Source organism: Homo sapiens, chromosome 1 (genome assembly GCF_000001405.40).
Source record: "Homo sapiens chromosome 1, GRCh38.p14 Primary Assembly".
NCBI lineage: Eukaryota > Metazoa > Chordata > Mammalia > Primates > Hominidae > Homo > Homo sapiens.
In genome coordinates, this window is record NC_000001.11 from 40,300,271 (window position 1) to 40,317,637 (window position 17,367).

At 57.4% G+C, this 17,367-nt stretch overlaps 1 protein-coding gene across 6 annotated transcripts, besides 9 other annotated features; it reads right to left on the reverse strand.

Annotated features, from left to right (window-relative positions):
- COL9A2 (collagen type IX alpha 2 chain) lies at positions 219-17,016 on the reverse strand. Of its 6 annotated transcripts, none has more exons than NM_001852.4 (32): positions 16,853-17,016; positions 15,320-15,394; positions 14,082-14,117; positions 13,935-13,997; positions 12,461-12,514; positions 12,304-12,339; positions 12,186-12,209; positions 11,789-11,842; positions 11,392-11,445; positions 11,230-11,277; positions 10,960-11,016; positions 10,823-10,876; positions 10,444-10,497; positions 9,994-10,047; positions 9,841-9,894; positions 9,668-9,721; positions 7,922-7,975; positions 7,433-7,486; positions 7,176-7,229; positions 5,873-5,917; positions 5,445-5,498; positions 4,524-4,577; positions 4,206-4,259; positions 4,050-4,121; positions 3,794-3,829; positions 3,658-3,702; positions 3,537-3,569; positions 3,260-3,406; positions 2,861-2,915; positions 2,351-2,539; positions 1,542-1,619; positions 219-1,111 (listed from the first exon to the last, which is right to left on the reverse strand). In NM_001852.4, the coding sequence occupies exons 1-32, from the start codon at positions 16,925-16,927 to the stop codon at positions 912-914; spliced, it is 2,070 nt and encodes a 689-aa protein (NP_001843.1). In that variant the 5' UTR covers positions 16,928-17,016; the 3' UTR covers positions 219-911. The 6 variants fall into 6 exon arrangements, with proteins under 6 accessions (NP_001843.1, XP_016855821.1, XP_011539017.1 ...); XM_017000332.2 differs by having other exon boundaries at positions 11,218-11,277; XM_011540715.3 differs by lacking the exon at positions 16,853-17,016 and adding an exon at positions 15,575-15,832 and having other exon boundaries at positions 11,218-11,277.
- Positions 12,268-12,317: an enhancer, noted in NCBI's record as "active region_840". NCBI's record gives its function as "activates an Ori minimal core promoter by ATAC-STARR-seq in GM12878 lymphoblastoid cells {active_cell/tissue: GM12878}" and the evidence as "EXISTENCE:reporter gene assay evidence [ECO:0000049][PMID:35858748]".
- Positions 12,878-12,927: an enhancer, noted in NCBI's record as "active region_841". NCBI's record gives its function as "activates an Ori minimal core promoter by ATAC-STARR-seq in GM12878 lymphoblastoid cells {active_cell/tissue: GM12878}" and the evidence as "EXISTENCE:reporter gene assay evidence [ECO:0000049][PMID:35858748]".
- Positions 14,831-15,090: an enhancer, noted in NCBI's record as "active region_842". NCBI's record gives its function as "activates an Ori minimal core promoter by ATAC-STARR-seq in GM12878 lymphoblastoid cells {active_cell/tissue: GM12878}" and the evidence as "EXISTENCE:reporter gene assay evidence [ECO:0000049][PMID:35858748]".
- Positions 15,261-15,320: a silencer, noted in NCBI's record as "silent region_723". NCBI's record gives its function as "represses an Ori minimal core promoter by ATAC-STARR-seq in GM12878 lymphoblastoid cells {active_cell/tissue: GM12878}" and the evidence as "EXISTENCE:reporter gene assay evidence [ECO:0000049][PMID:35858748]".
- Positions 15,331-15,430: a silencer, noted in NCBI's record as "silent region_724". NCBI's record gives its function as "represses an Ori minimal core promoter by ATAC-STARR-seq in GM12878 lymphoblastoid cells {active_cell/tissue: GM12878}" and the evidence as "EXISTENCE:reporter gene assay evidence [ECO:0000049][PMID:35858748]".
- Positions 15,874-16,510: an enhancer, noted in NCBI's record as "H3K4me1 hESC enhancer chr1:40781816-40782452 (GRCh37/hg19 assembly coordinates)". NCBI's record gives its function as "activates a minimal SCP1, AML or CMV promoter by ChIP-STARR-seq in naive H9 embryonic stem cells {active_cell/tissue: H9 hESC(naive)}" and the evidence as "EXISTENCE:reporter gene assay evidence [ECO:0000049][PMID:30033119]".
- Positions 15,874-17,147: a biological region, named in NCBI's record as "H3K4me1 hESC enhancers GRCh37_chr1:40781816-40782452 and GRCh37_chr1:40782453-40783089".
- Positions 16,191-16,700: a silencer, noted in NCBI's record as "silent region_725". NCBI's record gives its function as "represses an Ori minimal core promoter by ATAC-STARR-seq in GM12878 lymphoblastoid cells {active_cell/tissue: GM12878}" and the evidence as "EXISTENCE:reporter gene assay evidence [ECO:0000049][PMID:35858748]".
- Positions 16,511-17,147: an enhancer, noted in NCBI's record as "H3K4me1 hESC enhancer chr1:40782453-40783089 (GRCh37/hg19 assembly coordinates)". NCBI's record gives its function as "activates a minimal SCP1, AML or CMV promoter by ChIP-STARR-seq in primed H9 embryonic stem cells {active_cell/tissue: H9 hESC(primed)}" and the evidence as "EXISTENCE:reporter gene assay evidence [ECO:0000049][PMID:30033119]".

Sequence of the window (17,367 nt, forward strand, 5' to 3'; positions counted from 1 at the left end):
AGTTACACAGCAGGTCAGCATCCTGCTTCCATTCCTAGGTTCCTCCCACAGATGTTCCTCAAAACTGCCATGCTATCCTAATGCTCAGAATTCAGGTGCCCAGAGAAAACGCCCCATCCTTCCCTCCCCCTCCAGAGCCTCTGTCCTTCCTGCCTGGGCAATGGAGGCCCAGCAACAACTGCCCCATCCACAAGAAGAGAAGCCCAACAACTCCTCTATCCTAGTTAACTCCAGGATAGAGTAACTCCAATATCCTGGTTTGTACCCAACTTGGGAGCTTTTATTTACAGAAAGGCCTGGGTGGATCGGGGAGAAAGGGGTGGGGAGTTATGCGAGAAAGAGAAGGGAGATGATGTTTAAATACTGAGCTGGGAGGCAGGGAAGGAAGTAGTGGGGCTGGCTTAAGGGTATAGCCGCCTCAGGGGAGTCACCCAGCAGCAGTCACCTGGTAGGTCCAGAGAGTGAGATGGGATCAGGAACTGGCATAGACCTCAGTCATTGGTCCTCAAGCTGAGGGGTGGAACTGTAGCTGGGCAGGGCCCGGGCCTCCCGAGGTGCCCATGTCCCACTGACCCAAGGACAAGATGGCCAGTGGAGAAAGGTGCAGATTAAGATGTTTGTTTTGGTAACAGCCGAATGATGCTCGCTGGAAGGAAAGCCGCCCTATTCCTTCAGCGCTTCGACTCCATCGACACCACTTGCCCTGTGTGTTGGCCTCACTTTTTCACCCATCAGTGCTCTACCTCCCCTTCCCCCATGTTTTAGAATTCCTTTTCCTTAGGACTCCTGAGTCCCAGACAGAAGGTCCTGGGGGAGATGGTTTCCTGGACTGGGGATGGGTGCATGTCCACCCAGAGGGGACCTGGTCCTTCCCGCCAGGATGCCTGCCAGGCTCTGTCTGGGCCTGATGCTCAAGGCCCCTTGATGGATCCAGGCTCTGTAAGGCGGGCAGAGGCATAGGCCGAAGCTCCAAGGCAGGCGGCAGGTTCACAGAAGCCCGGCAGCCCCACGGGGCCTGGCAGGCCAGGTCGACCTGCCTCTCCTGGAGCCCCTGGGGACCCTCGATCTCCATCCTTGCCGTTGATTGCCTGGCCAGGCCGGCCAGGGAGTCCTGTGAACAGGAGAAAGTCAAGACATTAGGGGCACCTCTTGTCTCAGGCCCAGAATTTTGAAGGTGGGGAAACTTTTCAGATGGAGAAAATGAGGCCAAAACACCATAGGAGAAAGGACTCTGCCCCAGAGGCAGAGATTCTGTGATTGTCCCCTACCCCCAGCTCCCAATCAGTGAGCTTTGGGAGCAAACATCCCTTCCATCACCTCTGTGAAGTGATGGTGGTGGATCCTGGGAAGTCCTGAGAGGCCCAGCTTCCAGAGCTGGAACCACCCAGAGACTCCGGGGTGCTCCAAAGGGGTGCAGAAGCTGGGTATCAAGGACTGAGCTGGCTGAGCGTGAGGCCGCCATGGAGGAGACCGCAGTGTCCACACGTCATTAATTCCCAAGCTGAGGAACACACTGCAGCTGGGCAGGGCCAATGGCTTACCTGGGATCCCTGGGGGCCCAGGCATCCCGGGGTGCCCCCGTCCCACTTCTCCTGGATCACCCTTCTCTCCACGTTTTCCTGTAGACAAAAAAGGAAATCTTCATTTTTCAGAATTGGAAAATGCTTTTCCTCTATTTTTTGCTATGTTTCACGCAAAGAAATTATTCCTGTTTTGTGCTAGTTTGTAATAGAGGAAAGTTGGAAATGGTCACGCAGGGCTTGTTAAATAAAGGAAGGTGCAGACAAAGGATGGAAGATTATGTAACCAATAAAGTTTATTACAGGAAAGCAAGCATAACAATATCTAGCATTTACTGTGTCTCAGTGAACTAAGACAAACTCTATGTAAACTACTCTAAGGATAGTCCTCACTGCCACATGATGAGGTTGGTACTTTCAGTGTCCCCATTTTACAGATAGTAAACCTAAGGCCCAGGGAAATTAGCAGGTAACTCGTCTGAGAGCCACGATGAGAAAGGGGAGTCTGGATTCACACCCGTGTGTGGCTCCAGCCTGCCTGCTTTACTGCTCTGCTGGTCTGCCGCCCCATCTCTATTGACATGGAAAGATGCTTATGGGGTACCACTAAGCACATTCAAAAACAAACCCCAGAAACCCCGAGTGATAACATAGTACATTCATTGCCATCCGTTTGCTACTAGGAAAGAGCCCAGGAGTGTCTCCTGGACCATGTGGCTGAGGAACCGGGGAAGGGTCTGTATGTCATCCTGAGAAGGGAATGGGGAAAGGGCCGGCCTGGACAAATCCTCACTGCCTGGCCCCCATGCCCACCGCAGAGGAGCACTCACCCTTGGGCCCCGTGTTGCCGATCTGACCCACGGCTCCCACGATGCCAGGAACGCCCCGAGGGCCAGGGTGCCCATGGGGGCCCTGCTTGCCTGGGTACCCAGGGGGCCCAGGAGGTCCTGGAGGACCCATCATGCCCACCGCACCCAGGGCTTCCCGCTTGGCACTCACGGCGACCTCTGCCAGTTGCTCTGGAGGGAGGGAGGGAGGGAGGGAGAGGGAAGTCTATGAGATGGGTGTCAGCAGTAACACTAGGGGAGGCAGAGCATTCCGATGGGCCCTGGCCCCTAGGTTTGCAGACAGAAAAGCACCACCTTCCGTGGGCTCTGTTTTGCGGAAGTCAAAGGCCCAGAGTGACTTATTCAAGGTCCCAAAACCCTTCAGAGACTGGACTGGAAGGAGCCCCCAGGACTCCAGATTTTCAGACAAGTGAACACGTGGAGGCTCCGGGAGGGGGTGAGGGGGCGGCGATGCCCTCGAACTGACTGTGAGGAGGGGTTGCTGCCCCTCACCTTGCAGCATCTTCAGCGCCACATCCACGATGTGCTGGTCAGTGGCATCCCGGCCCTGAAAGCAGAGGCCTTTCAGGAAGAAGCCCCTGGCTACAAGGGCCCACCGCTCCTATCCCACCTGGCTGAGCGTGAGGCCGCCATGGAGGAGACTCTGGTGTTGAGTCATTAATTCCCAAGCTGAGGAACAGATTGTACCTGGGCAGGGCCAAGGGCTTACTTGGGAAGGTCGCGGGGTAATCCCTCAGGCTGCACTCACAGCCTTCCTGTCTGCTCTGGGGCTTGGAACCAGTCTCGGGGAAGTCGGTGAGTCTCTGGGAATCCCTAGCCTTTGGCGGGTAAGCCGCACCCCAGAACAGATCTACCTAGAAGAAGCACCTCCTACCCCGGGGCCCGACTCACCTCCACGCCCTGTCTCCCGGGCTGTCCTGGCACGCCTCGGTTCCCGGCCAGTCCTCGAGGGCCGGGGGGACCAGGGTAGCCCTGAACCCCTGGGGCGCCCGCATCCCCGCTGGGGCCAGGGTAGCCGGGTTCTCCACGTACTCCTTGCTGCGGGGGGATGGGGGTGGGAGCAGAGCCGGGTGAGAAGGCGCCCGGGTGGGCGAGAGTGGGGGGTGGGGGTCGAGGAAGGGAGTGGCCGCCCAGGAAAGTCGGAGAACGCCGGGAGGGGAGGACTCACCTGTCCCTTGGGCCCCGGCTCGCCGGACTCGCCCTGCAGGCACAAGGAGCAGCGGTCACGAAGCCGCGGGGACCCCGGGGCCAGCCGCCGCTCCCCGCCCTTCCCTAGGCCGCGCGCTCACCTTCTCGCCTTTCTCTCCGGGGAGGCCGGCCACCCCTGGGTCACCCTGCAGAGAGAACCACGGGTCAGACGCGCGGTGGCGGCGGGGACGCAGAGCAGGGTTGGGGGTCGCTGGGAACAGGGGTGCTGGAACTCACCACTTTGCCGCGGGGCCCGGTCTTCCCTGGGGAGCCCTGGAGAAAGCGGGCAGTGAGGGGTTTGGCGAGCTCCCCCCTCCACGGGGTCCCCCACCTAACTTTCGGCCACACCCCTCTTTCCAACTCCGCCTCGCCGACCAGACCAGAACCCTGAGATCCGCAGGTTTGGAGGCTCCGGAAGGATCTGAGTCCTGCCGACCCCACTCCCCCTGTTATAGGGCCCCTTTCCCAGGTGTTTCCCAGCCCCATCTGGCACCTTGTCTCCTTTGACGCCTGGCAAGCCTTGGGGCCCTGGAATTCCGGGGGGGCCCTGCTCCCCCTTAGGGCCCTGAGGAGAAAAGAAACCAAAGGAATAAATGGAATGAGGGGCCTGGATATGACGCCCTGCCCACCTTAGCTGGCCTGCACTCACCTGCCTTCCCTGAGGGCCTGGTTGCCCCACTGGACCCCTCTCGCCTTGGTCACCCTGAAATGGAAAGAGAAGGTCACAACCTCAGCAGCTCTCAGCAGGGGTAGCCTCCCGCACCGAGGCCTGGCACCGCATGGTCAGGGTGCCCTCCATTCCTGCTGTCACTGGCAGGGGGTCCTTTCTCCACTTGGCAGACCAGCAAAGCAAACCTAGGCCCTGCCTGGGGAGGCATCTCACGGGCTGCACGGAGCAGATGCTGTATCCAGCAGTGCCAGCTGCCGCAGAGGCCCCCGGGGAGGGGCCATTGTGCCAGGCACTTACCTTCTGTCCCATGATGCCCTGGGGACCAATTTCTCCTCGAGGCCCTGGCTCTCCCTGGAGGAAGGAGAAATTGGGGCTAAGCGTTTGACCTGGTGGAACCCACCCTTCCACACCTGGCCAGCCCCTCCCTACCCTGGGTCTCAGCTAATTTGCTTCATCAGGGAAGGTTTCCCAGACCACCTGTTCCATGGTTTTGGGTCCCTGTAGTTTTCTTTCAAAGGACCCAACACAATTTGAATTACTTATCATGTGATCATTTCTTTCTTTCTTTTTTTTTTTTTTTTTTTTTTTTGAGAGGGAGTCTTGCTCTGTCACCCAGGCTGGAATGCAGTGGCGCGATCTCCGCTCACTGCAAGCTCCGCCTCCCGGGTTCATGCCATTCTCCTGCCTCAGCCTCCAGAGTAGCTGGGACTACAGGTGCCTGCCACCGCCCCAGGCTAATTTTTTGTATTTTTAGTAGAGACGGGGTTTCACCGCGGTCTGGATCTCCTGACCTCGTGATCCACCCGCCTCAGCCTCCCAAAATGCTGGGATTACAGGCGTGAGCCACCGCGCCCGGCGTGATCATTTATTTCATGTCTATTTCTTCCATTAAACTATACCCTCCATATGAAGAGGAGACTCATAGTTGCAAGTGTTTAGTGAATGTTTATGCAATGAATAAATGAACGAACAACTCTGCCTGTTGGATTCCCAGCCCATCAACTTGGCCATCTAGGAAAGTCACACTCCAGAACAGAGCCAGTCCCCACCCTCCCTGCAATGTACATAGGGAAACAGGCCCAGGGAGGAGAAAGAGCTTCCCTGAATCATTGGGTCAGGGCAGAGCCAGACTAACTCGGAGCTCTCCCTAGGTTAGGGCTCCACCCCATGGCCTCACCCTAAAGCAGGAACCCTTGTGTCAGTGCAGGGGGCATTTACCTCTTTCCCAGGGGGACCAGAGAATCCAGGAAGGCCCTGCGGGCCCGGCTCACCCTGCAGGAAAACAGTTCTCAGGTCAGTCTGGGTGGCCCAGTCAGGCCCTTGGCCTCAGGGAAACCCAACGAAGCCTAAACAGAGCCTGGAACCAGATGAGCTGGGACGGGGGAGAGGGTATTCTTGGTTCAATCCTCTTGGCTCCTGATTTTCCTGTTTGTTTCTCCTCTGGATTTTAAGCCATGCCATCCTATCTGCACTGAGGCAGGCTGAGGAGTGCATGATGGGTGGGAGGTGGCAGGAGGGAGGTGGTTAGGCCCAAGGGGCTTATGTTCTGGCTGAGCCTCTGAGACTTGGCTGAGGCCTGGGCCTTGCTGTCTTCCTGGCCCCAGACTTCCTTGCTCAATTCTGTCCCCAGCTTGGGATCGCCTCACCTGGTCTCCAGGGCCTCCTTTTGTCCCAGGCTGGCCTGGCACACCCTGCAGAAAGAAGTTGAAGTCAGTTTCTGCCCTGGCATGAGGGAGCCCCATGCACCTGCTGCTTTGCTTCCCATCCCCAATCCAGATTTCCCCCACCTGTGGGAGCTGAACAACAGAAGGTCCAGCCACGGCATGATGAACTTAACTGTACATTCCCACAGTGGTGGCAGAGGAGTGGGGCACAGAGAATGGCCTGTCTTCCAGGACCTGGGGTCTACGTGGAAGAGATGGATATGTGCTCTCAGGTGCCTGAGCCCATGTGAGTGCACGCAGGAACACAAGTCTGCATGTGTGCACAGAAACAGGTTTGGCCACTCAGTACCCCCACAGGGAGGGAGGGCAGGCTCCCATGGACTGGACTCCAGGAGGTATGGAATGGAGATGGCCCTGAACGATAAGAAGGCACAAAGAGACCAGAAAGGGCATTTCAAACAGAGGGACCAGCAAAGGCCTAAAGGTGTGGAGGCAGAAAAGCCAAGGCCTGTTGAGAAGGGAAAGGACAGAGAGGGGCCATTGCTGATATGGCAGGAGGGGCAGGTTGGGGTCAGATTATGGTGGTCATTGAATGGTAAGATGAGCCATGAAGACAAAGATTGCATCTGTCCTATTTATAATTGTTTACCTGCCACTTAGTATACCTCAGATACTCAATAACTATTTTTTTTTTTTTTTTTTGAGATGGAGTCTTGCTCTGTTACCCAGGCTGGAGTGCAGTGGTGTAATCTTGGCTCAGTGCAACCTCCGCCTCCTGGGCTCAAGCAATTCTCCTGCCTCAGCCTCCTGAGTAGCTGAGATTACAGGCATGAGCCGCCACGCCCAGCTAATTTTTGTATTTTTAGTAGAGACGGGGTGTCACCACATTGGCCAGGCTGGTTTTGAACTCCTGACCTCAAGTGATCCACTCAGCTGAGCCTCCTGAAGTGCTGGGATTATAGGCATGAGCCACTGCACCCGACCTCAATAACTACTTATTGAAGGACTGGACTGAATGACTTTTTCCTGGAGGCGGTGGGGAGCCATGGAAGGTGCTATAGTGCAGAAATGGTCAGATCCCATTTAGCCAACATGGAGGACTGGAATGGCCAAAGAGAAGGCTAGAGTAATTGTCCAAGTAATGAAGCCTTCGCCAGGCCAGGGGCCACAGAGTTGGTAACAAGGCAAGAGGTGGTGATTGAGCAAGAGCCCCGGGTGTGTGTGGATTCTAACCTCATCAGCCACTAGCCCCTGGCCAGCCCCTGTGGCTCCACCTGACACTTACCGCTAGGCCCTGGTGGCCTGGACTTCCGGGCTGTCCCGCCTGTCCTGCACTGCCCTGGGATAGACAGATAACCAAAGATACAAATTAAAGCTCCAGCCAGAGGGCCATGGCTTCTACCCAGATGCAGGTAGGGAAACTGAGATCCAGAGGCAAGAAAGGGCATGTCCATGACCTGAGGACCCCAGGCTCTTGGTGTCTAGAATCCAGGACTCAAGGTCCTGCCCCTGCCCCAGTCCCATCAGCAGCCCCACTCCTACCTTCATGCCAGGCGTGCCTGGGGTCCCATCCTTGCCGTTGATGCCTGGGGGGCCCTACCCAGGAGGAAAGTTCAAGGGAGAGTGATAATGCGGAGATGTCTGGGGTCTGGCCACCCACCCCTGTTCCTCTGAGACAGCTGCAGTGTGCAGGGAGGGAGTGGCTCTGGTCATCCCAGGAAGCCCCACTGGCCAACTGGGGGAGGGGAGTTGAAGTGGGAAGGGGATGAGGGTCACGGAACACAGTCCTTCCCTAGTGTGGAGGGTGGTGTCCCCGACTGCTGCAAGCTCCCCATGACCTCCCGTATGTCATCACCCCTGTTTACAGGTGAAGAAACTGAGGCACAGAAAGGGAGGCATTTCCTGAGGTTATGGAGCCAGCCCACCAGTTGCAGAGTTCAGACTAGCATCCCAGGCTTCTCTTCTGGGGGTTTGGACAAAGCAGCTGGGCCCTGGCCTCTGTCCTGGTGGGCCTAGGCCTCTGGCACCTACCGTTGCTCCTTTCGGGCCTGTGATCCCCTGGGGTCCACGAATACCTGGGCTGCCCTGCAAAGCGGAGAGAGATCAGGTCACCCTCAGGATGTTGGGCCCCTGTCTGGCTGTGCAGAGAGGGGAACCACTGAGAACAGTGGCCTCTAGGTCCCAGAGTTCCTCTGGCACAGGCCACACCATGCAGGGGCCGGAGGAGAGAGCCTTGGGAGTACCCTTCCTGCCCTGGCACCAGCAGGAGGGAGGAGAAGTCAGTGCCAGGAGGCCAGGCTGGGCTGAGCCAGAGCAGGGGTGGGAGCCAGAATCCACTGAGACCTTGGCCAAGGCCCCACAATCCACTCAGCCAAAGGAACACAACAACCGAATGCAGTGTGTGGATGCTGTGTGAGTCTTGATTTGAACAAGAACCAGGAAAAGACATTTTTGAGATAATTGGGAAAAACTGAACAGAGACTGGCCATTAGATGATGTTAGGGAGTACTTGTTTATTTTGTCAGTTGTGATAATGTGATTATGTGAGAATGAGTGCTTATTGTTTAGAGATATGTACAAAAGTATCTAGGGCTGAGATGATAGGATGTTAAGGATTTACTTGAAAACATCAGAGCAAAGCAATAACAAAATCAAAGGAAGGAGGGGTCTGGGGGATAGAGGACACAAGACTGACAAAATGTTAATAACTGAATTGGAACCTGTGATAGGTACATGGGGATTCTTTATATCACTCTCACTGGTTTTCTGTATAGTTAAAAAATTGCATTAAAAAACTAGATATTGCTGGGCGTGTTGGCTCACACCTGTAATCCCAGCACTTTGGGAGGCCGAGGCAGGTGGATCACCTGAGGTCAGGAGTTCGAGACCAGCCTAACATGGTGAAACCCTGTCTCTACTAAAAATACAAAATTAGCTGAGCATGGTGGCGCATGCCTGTAATCCCAGCCACTTGGGTGGCTGAGGCAAGAGAATCTCTTGAACCAGGGAGGCGGAGGTTGCAGTGAGCCGAGATCGCACCATGCACTCCAGCCTGGGCAACAAGAATAAAACTCCATCTCAAAAACAAAACAAAACAAAACAACTAGATGATCTCTGCTGTCTAATAGAAAAATAAAAGTATAAGAATTTTTTAATTTTTAAAAAGAAAAGAAAATAATTTAAAAAACTAAATAATAATAACAGTTAACTGTGTTTTCTGCTCCATTTTTCTGTAAACTTAAAACCGCTTCCCCCAACAGGTCTATTAATTGGGAAAAAAAAAAAAAAAGAGTTAAGAGAACTGGGATCGAGACCAAATCCCATTAGCCCCATGGCTGATTTGCTGGAATCTCATTGTCTGGCCCCAGTGACCATGGGACTGGATCCCAGGGCTTCGCCTAAAGTCTGAATTTGGGCTGACTGGGCTCTTGGCACAGATGGTCCTCCCCAGCAGGTCACCCACTTGGGCAGACACACACACACTCACTCACACACACATACATACACTCACAGTCACACACACACACTCAGAGATATCCTCACACACTCACATACACATACTACACACACTCACAGACAGCCTCACACATACACACTGTACACATACACTCATATACACACAGTCTACACACACACACACTACACACTCACACACACTACACATTCACACTCACGCACACACTCATGCACTCTCACACACACAGCCTTAGGGGGTGCCTTGTCCTGCCCAGTACTCCCCAGGGGTCCTGACTGAACAATGGGTGCCTGAGGACTCACCTCGTCACCCTTCTCCCCAGCTCGGCCTGGCGGTCCCCTAGGACCTTCCTCACCCTGGCAAGAAAGACAAGCAGGAATCCAGGTCACACAGGCTCAGGGGGAGCCATGCCCACTCTGTGGCTGTAGCTGTAGGAGCTCCAGCCTCAGGGGTAGGGGAGCAAAAAGAGGCTTACCGGTGGCCCAGTGGCACCGATAGCGCCCACCATGCCTTTATATCCATGAGGGCCCTGGGGAGAGGAAAGGGTTGCAGGTCAGTCCTGGCTGAACTCCAGGGGCCAGAAGGCAGCTCCTGGAAGCTCTTGTAGAACACCCCAAGATTCACTTACCGTCTCTCCCTTGGGCCCTGCCATGCCTGGGTAGCCCCTGATGCCCTGGGGACCCTGTTGAGAAAGAAAAATGACAGCAATGGCAATTGCAAGGCCCACTTCATGATACCTTGTCTGATGCCCACCTTCAATCTTACAGTGCCCTTTTGAGGTAGGCAGCAGAGTCTCTGTCTCATGGATGGGACATGGAGGTTCAGAGATGAGGAGGGACTCACTGCATTACTCAAAGGGACAGTGGCAGACCTGGACCTCAGCCTGGGCTTCTTGCTGACAGCTTTGGTTCCTGTCCCTCATTCCTGACAATTTCAGCCTCCATCTCCCCATCCAGAGATGCTCCCAGCTAGACACAGGTGTCTCTTTTACAAGCTAGAGGCCTGAGCAGGGGAATGACTCCATGAAGGGCTCCTGGGGTGAGGGAGAAGAGGGCCACTGAGGCAAGGTGTTCCTTACCGGTGGTCCAGGGATGCCTTGCTCTCCAGAGGCACCCACATCTCCCTTGGGACCCTAAAGGGCAGGGATGAGCTGTCAGACAGGCAGGCAGATGGAAAGACACATATACAGACAAGCAAAGATACCACCTCTTTTCCCCAGCACAAGCAGACGGGAGGGACTACTACGAACCCTACAGTCCTGTGTTACAGATAGAGAAAAGCCAAGCAAGGAGACATGACCAGAGACATGCCGACCTGGAGCACAGGCCTCCAGCCCCCGGCTCAAGGCTCTGTCCCCAGAACCCACAGGGGAAGGGGAAGGGACGAAGAAGGGGACAGAGCCCTGTAGGACCATCTCCACGTATCCCTGACCCACAGCCCTCAGCCCTTGCACTCACCGGCTTCCCCTGGTGGCCAGGATCACCCAGAATCCCGCGTTTGCCCGCATGCCCCTGAAGGGAAGGAGAGAGCTCAATACGAGGTCCCCTCCTGTCACCTGCACCACCCTCCCAAGATTCAGGCCAGGAGCTCTCACCTTCACTCCCTGCAGCCCTGGGGGACCTTTCATTCCGGGTGGACAGTTGGTTGGACACTGGAAACAGAAAATCCCACAGGGTCCTGTGATCAGCTGGGCAGTGCGCCCCCATCTCTCCAAGCCCCGTGCTCTCCTCCGCCTCACCTGGTGGAACCCCTGCACTGCAGCCCCTCCCCATCTCTCCAGACACCCCCATCTCCGTGGCCCCGCCTCCCCATCTCTGTGGCCCCGCCCCCCTGTGTTAGCCCCGCCCCAGACCTCGTCTCTCACCAGGAAATCCGCACTGCCTTCCAGACCCTGGATGGTTCCCGGGCGACCCTGAGAGGAGACATGAAGATGGAGCTTGGCCTGACCCTTTCCCGCCGCAGGCTTGCTCAAAGACCCTTCTCCTTCCCCTGCACTTTGCCATGTCGGGGGTCTGGGGACACTTACAGGTTTCCCAGGGGGTCCTGGGGGCCCCGATGGTCCATCTGGTCCAGGGTCCCCCTGGAAGCAAAAGAAGCCCAAATCATACCCCTGACCAGCCCTTACCAGCTTACCCTAGTGCCCTCCTCCAGGTCCTGCCTCTGCCCTCTCCACCCTGTCTTCCCGGTCACTTTGTGAGATCCACCATCTTGGGAGATGAAGGCCTGATTGACAGGGGATGGGGCCAGCGGCGTCCCTAAAAGACCTAGTGCCGGGTGGGCTCATAGGAGGGGTTTCTGCCCCAGACCTGGAGGAGTTTCCCAGTGGCCAGGAGCAGGCCCAGGAACTTCCAGAAAGACCACCCAGCTTGCCAGCTTGGAGATAGAAGGCAGGAGGCAGTGAACAGAGGGTGGCTGAGGCTCACCTTGGGGCCTCGGATTCCAATCTCACCAGGGAGGCCAACAGGTCCAGGAGGCCCCTGGGGAGCAGAGAGTTGATGGTCAGGATGCCTCAGAGGGTCAGATACCCTGGGCACAAAGGTAGAGACAGGCACCCAAAGCCCGTTTCTCCACTTTTACTTTTTTTTTTTTTTTGCCAACCCCAGAGAGACTGACAGACTGAGGCTTTAAGGACCAGAGAATTGCAGAGCCAGTGGACAGGCCCAGAGTGGGCTGGCCCTGGGTCTCTGGCAGGTCCACTTATTCCTGACACTATCACAGCAAGCTGGCTCCTTCCCATGGTGGCCATTCCCTCGAAGCCTTTCTGTTGTCCCCTCCTTCCCTGGGAGTTCTGGGGATCCTGCCCCATCCCTGAGGACTTACAGGAGGTCCAGCAAAACCAGGGCCCTGGAACAGAAAGAAAGAAAATTGGCTTCATGGCTCCCTCTGCAGGTCCCCTCTCCCCCAAGAGTCCCTCGAAGCCCTTGCAGGTTGTACTCACCGGAAGGCCAGGAGGACCAGGAAGCCCGGGCTGGCCCTGCAGAAGCAACGAGAAAGGCTCAGAGGCTGGGGTTTCCCCGGCTCCTACTTCCTCTCTACAGCCACTCCCAAACGCTGGCCCTAGATTGCCCACGCTGAGGCCCCAGCAGGCCCCTTACCTTGACTCCAGGGATCCCCATGGGGCCAGGCTCCCCCTTGGCTCCAGTTAAACCCTGGGGAAGAATGAAAATGTAGGATCAATGAGGGCCAACCTGCTCCCTGACCCACAGAGCAGGGCAGGTTCAAGGGTCCCTCCTGGGTGGGCCGAGGCTCCTTTTTGCCACACCTCATGAAGGCCTAGGAACCTCCACACCTTTCTTTCCTTTTCCCCAGTTCCCATAGTAACCCTAGGAGGCAGGCAGAACAATTCCCTTCTTTTGAAAGATGAGAAACCAAAGCCCAAAGATTTGGCTTTATGCCAGACCCAGGCTTCATGCCTCCGGGTTCAGGAGTCTAGAAGACCTAGCCATGGGTCAAGATTGGTCATTTGCTTGATGTCCTACCTTGACAACTTTTTCATTTTCTTTTCTTTTCTTTCCTTTCTCTTTTCTTTTTCTTTCTTTTTTTTTTCAATTGAGACACAGTCTCACTCTGTTGCTCAGGCTGGAGTGCAGTGGCACAGTCTCAGCTCACTGCAACCCCCGCTTCCTGGGTTCAAATGATTCTTGTGCCCCAGCCTCCCAAGTAGCTAGGACCAGGGGCATGCGCCACCACGCTTGGGTAATTTTTGTATTTTTAGTAGAGATGGGGTTTCGCCATGTTGGCCAGGCTGGTCTTGAGCTCCTGACCTCAAGTAATCTGCCCACCTCGGCCTCCCAAAGTGCTGGGATTACAGGCATAAGCCACCACGCCAGGCCATTGGCAACTTTTTCTGAGCCTTAGTTTCTCATCTGGGTGCCTCTCTGGGTGGATGTGAGAACTGATGCAACATAGAAGGCAATATGCCTTGTAATCGTTGCAGGGTGTGGATGAGTTTGAAGGGGTCCTGGTGACTGTCCCAGCCCTGGTCACACCTCATGAGCCAGCAGGGCAGAGGCAAGTCATGGGGGTTTCTCCTTTCTCCCATCTTTCAGTGACTGACCCAGTGTAACCCCCATCAGATGTTGTCCTCATGCCCCTGGGGCTGGCTGTGTTCAAGAGCCTGTGACCTTGGGGGCCCCCTGGGAGCTCTGTGGTATCAGCTAAATGATGTTTCTCTCCTGAGTCATGCCTGGGGCTGTGGGTAGGGGTCAGGGGAAGAGCGGAGGAAAGGACAGGGCACACAAGGACAGCCCCACCCAACATATTCAGCCTGATCCTTGGAGGCCAGAAATGTGAGACTAAGTCCTGACTGCTGAGGGGTAGCAGGAGGAACCTGCACCTCCCAGAAAGCAGACCCTCTCTCTGGACCCCGGTTGCCTGCAAATCAATGACCCTGGGTGAGAGTGAGGTTCCAGGAAGGTCACAAGTCATATCAAGGTGAGGGGGGCTCACAGCTGGAGAATCTCCATCCTGCTGCCCATCTCTGAACAGATCAGTGAAGATGCCAGAGCCAGGCCCTGGAGGTCAATTGGCAGAGCCCTACCCTGCCCCACCCGACACTCAGCTACTCACATCAATCCCGGGCTTCCCGTCTGGCCCATCTGGCCCAGCTTTGCCAGGCTCGCCCTTGGGTCCCTTGAAAACAGAGATGGAACAAACATGAGCCAGAGGAGGGCAAGAGCAGGAAGGGTCAAAGGCCAAAGAGGATAAAGCACTCACCGGAGGGCCAGCTTTTCCAGGGGGCCCATTGTCACCCTGCAAGATACAAGTTGGTGAGACAGCACACTACGGCTCACACTACCCCAAGTGGGCACACACAGGCCCTGGCAGGCCGCTCCCAAAGGCTCTCCTCACTCTCCTCTCTTCTGTCCAGGTCCCCTAAGCCTTGCAATCTTTGGGAAAAGAGCCCCCTTTTCCTCAAAAATAAAAACCAAAAACAAATCACAGGAGCATGAGAATAACCCTGGCCGGGCTGGAGAGGGTGACAGCAACATGCAAGAAGGTACAGACATGCTGATGTCATGAGGTGCCAGCTGTGAGACCCACTACCAGGGCTGGGGGCTCCAAGCTGATGCCTCTTGGATTTGGGCACGTGTGGGAGGAAGGTTGGGGCTTTTAGAGAAACGTGAAGGGGGATGAGCGAGTTGGGCAGCAGCTCTATTCCAGACTGCAGGGCAGGAGAACGGGAAGCTGAGCCAGTGGCAAGGACCAAGGGGGACTGCAAGGGGGAAATTCAGTGTTCCCAAGGAGGGAAGGACCTCCTTCCAGTGCCAAAGGACCCTTGGTGGTGGGCAGGCAGGGCCGGTAGAGTGCGATTCAGCCCCAGAGAGGCCTCCAGGCATTTCAGAGCCCTCAGCAGCCAGGGCCTGGCCGGGGGCCCAGCATCCTGTGTTTGGGGGGTGGGGGCACCAGGTTGAATAGAAGTCTGTCCAGACTGGTAAACATCAAGCGGCCCTCCTGCGGGAGCTTTCAGAATGAGGTATTTAACCCTCACCCTGCAGGGAACAAGCCCAGCTGATTCTAAATCGGGGAGAGAAAACCGAAGGGAAGAGACAGGAGTCTGGCCCAAGCTGGTCGGTGGTCTGGCCAAGGCTCCCAAGCGAACCTGAAGAAGCGTCCAGATGTGCCAGAGGCAGGGTGAGGGGTTGAGTCGCCTCCTACCCCACAAGGAGGGGAAAGGAGAGGAGGGGGATGAGGCCTCGCTGTGAGCTGCGGCCGGCGGACTGAACAGCAGCTCCTTGTCTGTCGGCGGCTATAACGGGCTCCGCATGTCAGGGCTGGTTTGAGGTTTTTGCAGAACAAACGGCGTCCTTGTGGTGCGGGCCGGCGCCGCCTATTGGCGACGAGGGGCACTACATCTCCGGGCACCCCGAAGTCCCCACCCCCACCACAGCGCTCACAAAGTTCTCCTTTGTCTGCCGCCTCCCTCCCGCCCTGGTCTCAGGTTAGAGACTTACGTCGATGCCGTCGGATCCAGGCACTCCCGGCGGTCCCGGGGGACCCGGGGGGCCCCGCTCTCCCGGTGGACCTCTCTGAAAAACACACACGGGGTGGGGCAGTCCTCAGACAGTGCAGGAAGCTGGGCGTCCCCGGGGCTGCAAGCGACCCTGGGAGCGGGGTCCTAGGGGCGCAGCTCTTCCGCGAACTCCCACGTATTGAGAATCTTCTGTATAGCAGGCACTGTGTGCCATTACATGCATTCATTATCTTACAGAATACTCAGAACCGGGAGGCGGGCGCTATTACGGGCCCCAGTTTGCAGTCGAAGAAACTGGCTCAGAACGTGAAGGGTCCATGGTCACTGAGAGTGGGCGGCGGCGCCAGGAGTCCGCCCTGGATCTGCCCGACTCCTTCCACTGTGCCAGTTTGCCCTTGCGCGGTCGCGGTGGGGAATAGATGGAGACGTGGACAGCTCAAATAAATCACAGATGGAATGTAAGGTTGTGCCTAGCAGGCTGCCGGCCCTCAGTGAGCGGTGGCTCGGGTTGTTGTTCTTACGTGAACGACAGGCAGAGACAGCGCCTCCTCCTCTCCCCATGGTGCGGGAAAACCCGACGGGAAAGTGGGGGAGGCGCAGAGAAAGGAGGTGTAGGGAGGTGAAGCGGGTACTATCTTCCCACTCGGAGCGCCCCTTCGGCAGCACAGCTGCCCGGTCCTCCCTCTGCTAAGCCCTGACTGCTGCAGGGGAGCAGGAGGAGCCGGCACCTCCCAGAAAGCAGACCCTCTCTCTGGATCCCGTTTGCCTGCAATTCAATGCCCCTGGGTGGGTGTGAGGTTTCAGGGAGGTCACAAGTCATATCAAGATGAGGCGAGCTCACAGCTGGAGAGTCTCCATCCTGCTGCCCATCTCTGAACAGATCAGAGATCTTAAAAGGCGGCCCTTTTAAGAGGCCAGCTCGGACCCAGGCAGGGGTCCCGGTGCCCACGACCTCCCCAGGCCGCGAAGTGCCAGGCTGGCGCCCCGCAGGCGAGCTCGAAACCACACCCAGCACCCGACCGGGCCCAGTCTCTGCCCTACCCGCGCGCCCGCAGCCCCCGGCGGCCCTCGGAAGGGAGACGTGGGTAGGCGGGCAGGGCCGAGAGGCCGCCTCGGGGCGACAGCGGCGTCTGGTTGGAGCCGGCGCCCCCTGGGAGGCGGCGGGGGCGGAGGCTGCGCAGCGGGTGAATGAGCACCATTGTATGCCCCGCCACCTGGGCTCCCCGGGCTGCCAGGACCGGGCGCCAGCTCCTGCCCCACGCTGCCTGTCCCGGGCCGGGCCGCGCGTCTGGGGACGGGTCCCGTTTGACTCTCCGGCTCAGCCACCTCCATTCACGGTGCCGCGATGGGCACCATGTATGCACCCACCGAGGGGACCTGCCCGCGGCGCTGTCCTCAGGTGGCCTCTCGGGCTAGGGGTGTCAGTAGGCGCGGGACACAGGCAGAGCTCCTCCATCCCGGACTCCAGACCCCGCACCCTGGACCCTGGCAGCGGAGGGGCTGCGAAACTTACAATCTGCGCCAGAGCGAGCACTACCACCTGGAGGAGAACAAGGAGGCTGCGGGGGGAGGCCGTAGCGGCGGCCATGGCTGGCGGCGAGACCAAGGGGGACGGGTGCGTGTCCGCGCACGCACCGACGGCAGAGTCTCCCGGCGCTCCTCCAGCGCTGGCTGTTCGCGGGCAGGGTGGGCTGGGGCTCCTGAATATGCGGGGGGCGGGGCGGGGGCCGGCGTGAGCTGTCACCTGAGAGGACCGGCGGGGTTGCCGGGAGGGAGGCCGGCGCCAGGCATCCAGCTCCGCCCCGCTCGGTCCAGCCTCCTGCGCCCACCCTCTGTCCTCGAGGGGCGACCGGGGTGCGGGTCGGAGATGATGGTCCAGTTTCTTTGTGAGAAGGCATAAGGCCGTCTGAGGTTCCCCTCGGGACCTTCAGGCCCCAGCACCTTCCCCCTGACGCACAGCCTGTGCCCCATCACTTACCCTACGTCCTCTCCAGGGCCCAGGCCGAGAGCACCTCGGGCTCTGCAGAT